The following is a 10,731-nucleotide window of genomic DNA, read 5'->3' on the forward strand; positions in this document are numbered from 1 at the left end:
ATTTTAAAATCTCTACAGTGATTCTAATATGTAGCTATACTACTGTTATATTGTATTAGTCTGTTTCTCATGCTGCTAATAAAGACAATACCCGAGACTGGGTAATTTATAAAGAAAAAGAGATTTAATGGACTCACAGTTCCACGTGGCTGGTGAGGCCTCACAATCATGGTGGAAGGCAAAGGAGGAGCAAAGTCATGTCTTACATGGTGGCAGGCAAGAGAAAATGAGAGCCAAGTGAAAGAGGAAACCCCTTATAAAACCATCAGATCTTGTGAGAGTTATTCACTACCACCAGACACTATGAGGGAAACTGCCCCCATGATTCAATTATCTCCCACAGGGTCCCTCCCGTAACACATGAGAATTACGGGAGCTACAATTCAAGATGAGATTTGTGTGAGGACACAGCCAAACCATATCATATATAACAGGTTATCTATGAACAAGCGATATCAGCATTACCTGAGCTTTTCAGAAATGCAAATTCTGCTCTGGGCTCAGTGGCTCATGCCTGCACTCCCAATGCTTTGGGAGGCCTAGATGGGAGGATTACTTGAGCCCAGGAGTTCAAGACCATGCTGGACAACATAGCTATAACCCTATCTCTACAACTAACAATAATGAATGCAAATGTTTAGGTTCCTCCCTAGACCTGCTAAGTCAGAACATCTGGAGTGAACTCAGGAAACTGTGTTTTAAAAATCCCTCCAGATGATTCTGATCCTCATGAAAATTTAGAAATTAGCATTTTACACCAATGATGCTCATCCCTGTGTATCAGAATCCCTAGAGAGCTTAATTAAAATTGGAGAGTCCAGATTCATGCCCCAGATCTATTAAAACTGTATTTTCACATAGCCCTTCAGGCAATTCTGATAAACTCAGGATTGAAAACCACATATTTATACAAAATAAATTGTACTGCTTTATACGCTTTCAGTGTTTGTATATCAGAATTTATCAGACTTGATAGTTTTTCTCCCTCTCAGAGAGAAACATAATACAAATCTTTGTTCCAAAAGAAAGATCTGATGATAACACTGAAGAACTCTCACTCTTTGTTGAGAGCAGAGCTAGATTCTGCAGAATTCCAGAATGACAGATTGATTAGTATCTCATCTATAATTAATAGGATGAATGTCAGAAGGACAGCTGAACTGTGAGCCCTGGGATGAAGTCACCTACAGCCCTAAGACCTGAAATGCACATCTCAGCAGAAGCCTGACTGCAGCCGTTATCCTTGCTGTGGAGATGAACCAAAGGCCCAAGCGTGAGTGACTTCAAGATGAAACTCAGGAGCTGAGGCTCAGTGTGGACATTAAATTTCCGATGCCAGATAAGAAATCAAATTCTAATTCTTCACAAAATTACTGTCTTCAATTTCCGTTGGCATATCTAAGAAATACTGGACTGTTACTAATTGGCCCCTTAGCTCTGTGTCCTGGAACAGAAGAAATTAAGTTCAGGAAATATTTCTGTTGCAGGCTATCTAGAAACTTAAAAAAAAAAAAAAAAAAAAAAAGCCTCCCTTAGTAACTTTTACTGATAGCCATTGATGTAGGAAAGAAAATCTATATTTAGAGAACATACTTTTAAAATCAGCTTTCTTTTCAATAAAATGCCTTCAATTCCTATGTTTTTCAATTAGTTCAGAGTCTAAGAACAAACATTTACTGAATGCTTATGGGATAGAAAGCATAGTACTAAATGCGGTGGGTGATTTAAAATAATTGATGTGTAGTAGAACTTGTTACTGAAAGTGTCATACACAGACCGACAACATTAGCATCACTTGGGAGCTTCTTAGAACTACAGATCTCAGGCCTTAATTTAGGTCTACTAAGCCATTTTGATAACATCTCTAGGGGATCTGTATGAATATTAAAGATTGAGAAATATTGCAATAGAAGATGTGGTCTTGCCTTCTCAAAGCAGCTGGAAAAGCACCATGTACATATATGAAAACGTAAATCATATTAAAAATTAGGGATAGACCAAAACATGGTTCCTCTTCACAGGAATCTTACATTTATTAGAGACAAATGAATGTGACAAGTTTAATAATTACCTTATATCAAGTTATCCAAACCTAGAAACTGAAAAAGAGATTCGAGACTCTTGACTTACTGAGAGAAGCTCTCAGGAGAAGAAAAATAAAAGTGAGAGAAAGAAAAGAGAAAAGAAAGCTGATTTTAAAAGTATGTTCTCTAAATATAGATGGGGCAGGAGAGGAGCGGAATGAAGATCTCAGCTTGGGCCTAATCACATAGGCAGCTCTGGAGTGTGAATTGTGCCACAGAGCTGATATTGCCTCAAGGCAAGGGAATAAGCCTCTTGTTCTCCATGTGAGAAAATGAGTTGCAGACATTTGCTATGGGCTGCTCCTGGGTGGAAGTATGGGACACAAATTTCTGGCCAAATGGCTGAGTTCAGCTAAGTTATCTGAGGAAGCAGAGCAACTGTGAGGTGTTAGCAGTCAACTCTCACAGCGGGTGGTGGGGGAAGGGTGCACTGGCTAGTAAAGGGAATCTGGATGAGGCACCAACAGCATTGCCATGTTCTGAATGTTTATGGGCCACCAAAATTTATATTTTCAAATCTTAACGTCCAAAGTGATGGTATTAGGAAACGGGGTCCTTAGGAAGTAATTAGGTCATGAGGGCAGAGCACTCATGAGTGAGATTAGTACCCTATAAAAATGGCCCCAGATAGCTCCCTTGGTCTTTTCCACCATGTGAGGATACATTGAGAGTTGGCAGCCTGCAACTCGGAAGAGGATCCTTACCAGAACTTAGCCATGCTGGCACCCTGATCTTGGACTTCCAGTCTCCAGAACAATAAGAAATAAATTTCTGTAATTTATAAGTGGTTCAGTCTATGGTACATTGGTATAGTGGTCCAAATGGACCAAGACAAGCATCCCCTGGAATAATCTAAGATGTAAAGAACAGTACAAGGAATTAGGAGAATGGCTGTCAGGCAAGCACATCACTTGCAGTATATTTTGTGTGTTGAGAGGGAGAAGTGGTCACTGTGTAAGATGTGTTCTGGAAAGATTTGCCAGAGAAAGTAGAATTTAAACTGGACATTGAGGAATGCAGTCATCTTCCCCTTTCCAATAATTGCATTTGATTTCCTCCTGGGGAACTCTCACCTCCTCCACCATCATCACATGTGGTTTATGATGGGAACTATATTCCAGACTTGAGGGGTGTCCATAAGACTCAGGTCTAACTGGCCAAGGCATCACATCCCCTTGGTCACAGGAATTGCTTCTGGGATGAGGACTTGACTGAAACCACAAGAGGAAGCCTAATAAACATGTTCAGCTGTTAGAAAAGAGAGCAGCTTCTAGGCTGTAGTGCTCAAAGATTAATGTCCACTGAGAAGACACAAGATTTGAAGATTGAGAAAAACTGAGGTCTGAATATGTGAAGCATGAATCCTGACTCACTCCTGGGACTTCTCTGGATATGTGAGCGAATAAATGACTAAATTCAATTTTTTGCTCAAGTCGATTTGATTAGCCTGGTTTTCCATATCTTGCAGTTAAAAGTGCTCTAGGATTTAGATATGAGTATAGCTTTTCCTTTTATATATACGTCTGTATATATATGTATATATATACACATCTATACATATATGTATATATATGTATATGTGTATGTATATATATACATATATACATATATACGTATACGTATACACATATATACGTATATGTATACATATATATATATTCTTGTAGTCTTAACAAGACGTCTTTCTTGTTCCTTTTATCTTTTTTATGATTCTTTTAATTTTATTGACATCACTGTAGAAACACCTTTTTTTCAGCTGTAATTATGTCCTGTGTTCAGATCACTCATTCCCAAAACCGAATTGAAAATGCTTTCTCACCAGTTACTTCAAACCTGGACTCTCTTTTTGAGCCCATAAACTTCATAGAAGGTAAAAAATAAGGTGAAAGCTAACATATTTTAAGGAAAGGTGATATCTTTTAACATTTAATATATTAATTTATTTTTTGACTTTGTAAAGTAAAACATTTTAAAGAAATTTTTTTCAGTAGCAACCTTTATCAAACTATATCTTATTTTCAAATAATGATAGAAATAGTCTCACAAATAAGCTGAAAATTCACTAACTTAAAAAAGAGACCTAATGAATATGACAGTTTAGTATTTTAAGATAGCATCAAAATTTGACAATTTATTGCCAGTGTCAAATAGCATAAAGCAATCAGAAATACCTCAAGGAAAGAAACACTGAAAATAAATAAACCTGAATTTTCAAAATTTCCCTTAGAACCAACTTATAGTACACAGTTCTAAAATTTGTGTTTCTGGGATTACTTATGGTAAAGTTCCAGAACTGGCAGAAAAGTGACCACTGTTTTAGATTATACTACTCACAATAATTGCCATCAATTGAGTGCTCACCAAGTAGACACTTCATATACCTGTCTTTCTTTCTTTTGTTTTTTTGAGATGGAGTTTCCCTTTTGTGGCCCAGGCTGGGGTGCAATGGCATGATCCCGGCTCACTGCAACCTCTGCCCCCTAGGTTCAAGTGATTCTCCTGCCTCAGCCTCCCTAGTAGCTGGGATTAAAGGCATGCACCACCACACCTGGCTAATTTTGTATTTTTAGTAGAGATGGGGTTTCACTATGTTGGTCAGGCTGGTTTCGAACTCCTGACCTCAGGTGATTTGCCCACCTCAGCCTCCCAAACTGGTGGGATTACAAGCATGAGCCATCGTGCCTGGCCTCTTTCTTAATCCTTATAACCAAATCTGAGCCTTCATTGAGTGGGTAAGAATCTGATGTAAAGCGTTAACCTTTCCTGACCACACATGGTGAATAAACAGTAGAGCTGGGGTCTAATCCCAAGTCCCTCTGAGTCTAGAGTCTGAACACTCTACATCTGCCATTTCTAATTTGATTTTCCTCCCTCCCTCTTGCCACACACCTCATCCTTCTGCAGTACCTTTGAACTCAGCACACTGAAGAGGCTGAAATTTACCTGGAGTGACCTTTTCACCTGGACATATCAACACCACCAACAACAGTAGCCTGGCACTGTTTTTTCCCCTTCAAGCCTGAAGGGGGCAATGGGCAGTATCAGAGCGGGAGGGCTCATCCCTGTAGCTTTTGGCAAGGCTGAGATTCTCCTGTGACAGAATTATCTACATTAGGCTTCATCCGACAGGAGTGCAGTGAGGAGTGACATTGGTGTTTCAGCCAGAGTTCCCTCATTCTCCTGTCAAAGATAAGTCATCAACGCAGCAGCTGCATCCAATGACCTCTCACTGCATTCTGGTCCACCCTGAGGTTCCACACTTCATTAAACACTTGCCCTTCCATACCTACCATTCACACTTGGGATGAAAATGCAAGCGACTCCTTGTTATGCATGGAAGAGTATGTATCTTAGCCTGGATATGCTTTGCTCTGCTCTAGGCTCTTAAAACATATGGAATATTTGCTGGAATGAATGAATCCTCAGATTAGGAGGAATGGGCATGGTTGTCCTTTGGAAGTTAAGCATCTTTTTTGAAAATGTGCGTGGAGACAGAAAATCTGTTTATATGGCTTTATGAACCCCCTTTTTTTTTTTTTTTTTTTTTTTGAGACGGAGGCTCGCTCTGTCGCCCAGGCTGAGTGCAGTGGCGCGATCTCGGCTTACTGCAAGCTCCGCCTCCTGGGTTCACGCCATTCTCCTTCCTCAGCCTCACGAGTAGCTGGAACTACAGGCTCCTGCCACCACTCCCAGCTTAGTTTTTGTATTTTTAGTAGAGATGGGGTTTCACCTTGTTAGCCAGGATATGAACCACTTTTTAACCAGTGACTTGTTGAATATATTTTCAAAATTGAGTTTTCTGTAGACTACTTAGTCCTGGAATTTTTAGATAATTAATTGTTGTGTCTTTTTATCCTGATTTTCTAGAATGTTCTCATAAATGTGTAAAAACCATCGCAATATAGCCCTCTTCCCCACCATCTAGCATAATACCATATAAATATGAATTACCTATTAAGGAAATAACAAAAGACTTTGTATTGGTCCACATCGAATTTAATAATCTTGATTTTTCCCTAAATGTGTACTCTGGTAATGGAGTGAAAGCTCCTACTATGCTTATAGATGGCAAGAACAGAAAGCAGCATTCTTCTTAAATCCTGAGCTCTACACATTTTCTTGGAGTTTGCAATAGAAATCACTTGTTTCTGCCAGCTTGATAACACTTGATGGACAACAGAGCCCTTAATGTCCACACAGGTGAGCACCCCCTTCTTTTCTTTTGATTCTCCTGGTTGGCATTGCCTTTACTCCAGGGTCAGACTAATTCAGCACTGGCCTTAGTAACTGGCTAGAAAATAGGTGCATGAACCAAGGCAAGCCCCTGAGTGCCCTCACCAGGACTTTTGATGGAGCTACCACAAAAGTTGATTTTTACTATGTTGGTGGCACATAAGCCTGGAACTAATAGAGGCCATCCTTGTCCTTATTTGAGGTGATGTTGCCTAAAAAGAAATTCAGCAGAGAAAAGCAGCAGGACTGAGAGATGAAGAGAAGATTTCCTAAGACACAGTTGTCATTGTGGCTGAAGTTGGGCTATTTTGAACTTTACATAATGAAACACACACTCCTATTTGTTTAAGCTCACTAGAACTAAGTTTTCTGTTACCTACAACCAAAGTGTCATACTAACACAGGAATTCTAAATACAATCTACTCATGTCCATAACCCATCGGAAATTTTCTATGGGATTAGATCTTTCAAGAAATATTCTTATGCAAGTGGGTTGATCTGGGTACTCTTTCATGCATTGAAGTTTTTCTAAGTCTCTCTGGTGCAAATCCAGGTGTGGTAAATATGTGGGATTCCCAAGAATATGCCCGAGATATGGGGTGAATCCCTACTTTTTGCAGGAACCACACTGAACTCAGCCAAGATGACTTAAAGAGATCTTGACAGTATCTGAGGAATACTGGCTTAGACAGTATCTCTCAACTTCTAGGGGTCAGAAGTGTGATGAAAAATAATTGAGAAGGGACTTAAAGGTTTTCATATTTACCTGAAACATTCTTCAGCTTCCTGAATTATGTACTAAAGTTAAAATCAAAGCACCCTTTTGTATTCTGAATACCCTAAATACGAGAAACTTTTCTGAATCTTTACAGATAAATAAAAAGTCAGCAGTCTTATCTCTTATACATCATTTTTTATTTCATTAGTTCTCAAACTTCAGAATGAATCAGAATCACCTGGAGGGCCTATTAAACCACAGTATTGTTTTCTAACAATTTGCATTCAACAAGTTCCAGGTGATGCTGATCTGGGGTACCATACTTTAAGAATCACTGACACATCTCAATACCATTCACATGATAAGTGACAGTGTTGGGTGAATGGCTAACACTGAGAGGGTAAGCTGCACATTTGATGACAATTACTCAGTAGAACCCATTGCTGATGAAGAAGGTAAAAAACATGTTCCTGGATATATTGATTTAATCATTTCTCATCTTTTTGGGGTGCAAAGATGCATTTCTATGCCCCTGAACATAGCAACCTTCTCTCCTAGCTGAGCCACGTTCCCTAAATAGCATACACTGGTGAAGTAAAGCCATTCTGTTGCCTGCTTCTCTTTCTGTGGCTTAAACAGAGTTTGCAGTGGCCTGAAAAGTCATCAGTCATGAGAAACAAGCTTTTCTAAACACTAGGCCAGACAGAACAGATTAGGAAATCTCCAAACTGGATAATTAGTCAAGAAAAATAAATATCCTTTAGCAAAAACCATAATAATCACATTGAGCTTTCAGCTAATCAATTTACTGGGCCATCTGTCTAAGGAACGATGGCAGAGGTCTATGCCCAATCTGTGAACCTGCGGGGGGGTTGGGGGAGACTGTGATCAATGGAAACTTCTTGTGGACCTAAAGGAACCTGAAAGAGCAAGTCTTCCACCCACAGCCTTTCATGCCTAGAGGTTGTGGGGAGCCTCACTTTCAGAGAACATTTCTGTGGCTGTTGCTGGACATTGAGATGCACATTTTCAGGCTGTCACCCAGTTTGCACATGAGATGGGCTGCATCTGTTCATCTAAAGATTGTGCCAGCAGCCTTTCTTAGGAAAATTTTTATATTTTAAATTATTACAATTATTTCCTAAAATTGTTGTATAATTTTTAGTTGATATTATTTACTTTTAGTGAGGTGGCCTTACAGAGCTCCTACTATGTGTAATCTTCCATATGAAAGCATTATAAATGACCTGAGATAATCGTGGCTTCAAGGAACTTGTGGAATGATTAGGGCAAGAAAACACATGAAGGGCATCATCTCCACGAGGCCTCCAGCCTTAGCCCAACAGTAATTAGATGCCCTCCATCTAGGGGCTTCTATGCATGGGGATAATCTCATCTGTCTGTAGTTCAGCAGACTGGAAACAGATTCTAAGAAAAGAGGAAGGTCTTGTTTGTATGCTCAGCATCTATTACAGTGACTGACATATGGTAGACAGTCCATTAGTGTGTCATGAATAAATGAGAATGCTCTAGAATGCATGGCAGCATGTACTATCTGCATCAGCACAGATTTTAATTATCTTAAGAGTTAAGAGGACAGGACAATTCATAGAGTGCTCAGGGAAATCTACTCCAAACATGCACTCTGTAAGTTTAACATAAGAGAAAAGAAGATGATCTATGTGGATGGTACAACATTCACAGGCAAGAGAAGGGAAGTGTACCCAGAGCTCTGTGACAGTAATGATACTGCTTCCTATAGTGGAGACTTCACCTTGGAGAAGTAGGAAAAGATGATGGTGAAAGCCATGTCAAGTAACTTAATGGATTATTTCACAGGCTCTACAACAATGCCACGAAGCAGCCACTATTATAGCTGAGCAAACAAACGCTGAGAAAAGATAAGCATCTGCTCCACATCCCACAGTGAGACATAGTACAGCTAGGCTTGGAGGCCAGTTCTCTGCTCTCAAGTCTGAACTGGTAACTACTGCAGTATACTGCCACCCTGTGAGATCAAGCAGAGGCCTCCCGGACTTGAACCAAGAATCACTGATCTAAAACCATTTTCTTTACCTTTGAGTTTTACTGAACTGTGAACCAGGGACTGCAGTCGGAAGTCAGTTGAAAGTCTAATGGTTTGTAGAGAATTAATGGTTCCTAGATTATCTTAATGGTACTGGCTGGTGAAGTAAGCCAGCCAGCACAGAAGATCAAAGTCAGCATACTAGGAAGAAACAAGCCACATTAGTCTGTGTCAGAGTTTGGGTCCTGAGTTCAGGGACTGGATTTGTCACAATCTTCCCAGGAATGTTAAGGGTATGGTATTTGTGTGGGTCTGCTGAGCCCATCATTGGTTTGAATATATGGACTCTTGCTCTGGAAAGCATTGTTTCAGTAATGGGGATCCCAGCCATCTCAGTGGACCATGCTTACTGGTTCTGATGGTCTCTGGCTTTCTACTTTGTACAAGAGTTACCATGTTGCTTTGAAATCCCCAATGCCATAGGCCAGGTGGGCTCTACTCTACCCATCCCTGTCCGTCATTTCACAGATATACGCTTCTTACTAATACAGGAGTTATTAAGAAATAATTTTTAGGCAGATAGAAAGGGTGAAAGTTCTTGGTGGAATTTTCCTTTAATGAAAAGCAACCACCAAACCATTTCTTCTCTAACAGAAAGCAGCCTAGAAGTCAGGCATAGATACGCACACTAGAAGCTTTTATATGTAAATGCAAGCAGCTCTACCTGGAAGCCAGGTGCATTCCATATGGAGCCTCTTGCCCTCTTTTCCTTGTCACTACGTGTGCCAGATGTCATGACAGCCTCCAGATAAAGCCACGTATGCAGGACAACATGGCGACAGGCCAGGAAGCCGTATTTGCATATTAAAATGCTAGAGTGGGAGGGCCAGTTTTTTTGCGGGCTACGTGAATGACGTACCTCGTCAAACCAATCCCCTGGGCCCTATGCAAATCAGACACCACCTCCTCCAGCCTCCCAATATAACCAACTGCTTTTCACCATAGGCAGGGCTTTTCCATCCGGAGCCCACCTCCCTCTTTATGGGGGAGCTGTTTTCTTCTTTCTTGCCCGTTGAACTTTTTGTTCTTTAAACCACTCCACATGTGTCCGTGTCACTAATTTTCTCGGCGCATGACCAAGGACCCTGGGTGCTTCTCCAGGCAACAGAGCCATATCATTACTTTCAATGTTTTGCTTCAACCATCTGAGACTGTAGCTAAGATGAGTGTCCTGGAAGCTCTCCATCCAAGGATCTGTAGGTACATGGCGGGCTCTGCTTCCCCTGGCATTGCAGCTTTTCTGACACGGACTGCTCATCAGTTTGAGCCACTATATAATTGGAAACATGGGTATGATACATCAGGATGCCCACAGCCTGAGTTCATAGTTATTCCTCAGCAGAAGTCAGACATCAATGGTACATGGCAATGGATGTAGGGGAAGAGGCAGCTAAAGTCAAGCATCCAGTTGAAACATCAGCACTGGAAGCATTATATTTTATTCGAATATTAAGCTCTCTCTGATGTATTCTGGGACAGGAAAAACTACCCTTGGTAGATGGAGTGATATTCACTTATGCAATGTCAAATATGGTTAGAGTACCCTAGGCACTGTCCTAGATGGTGGAAATATGGTGATAAAGGCAGAAAAAGCACCCATTTTCATGAA

At 40.4% G+C, this 10,731-nt stretch overlaps 1 annotated feature.

Moving 5' to 3' along the window:
* Nucleotides 9,638–10,139: an enhancer, noted in NCBI's record as "NANOG hESC enhancer chr20:12681309-12681810 (GRCh37/hg19 assembly coordinates)". NCBI's record gives its function as "activates a minimal SCP1, AML or CMV promoter by ChIP-STARR-seq in primed H9 embryonic stem cells {active_cell/tissue: H9 hESC(primed)}" and the evidence as "EXISTENCE:reporter gene assay evidence [ECO:0000049][PMID:30033119]".

The sequence above is a fragment of the Homo sapiens genome, chromosome 20 (assembly GCF_000001405.40).
Source record: "Homo sapiens chromosome 20, GRCh38.p14 Primary Assembly".
Classification (NCBI taxonomy): domain Eukaryota; kingdom Metazoa; phylum Chordata; class Mammalia; order Primates; family Hominidae; genus Homo; species Homo sapiens.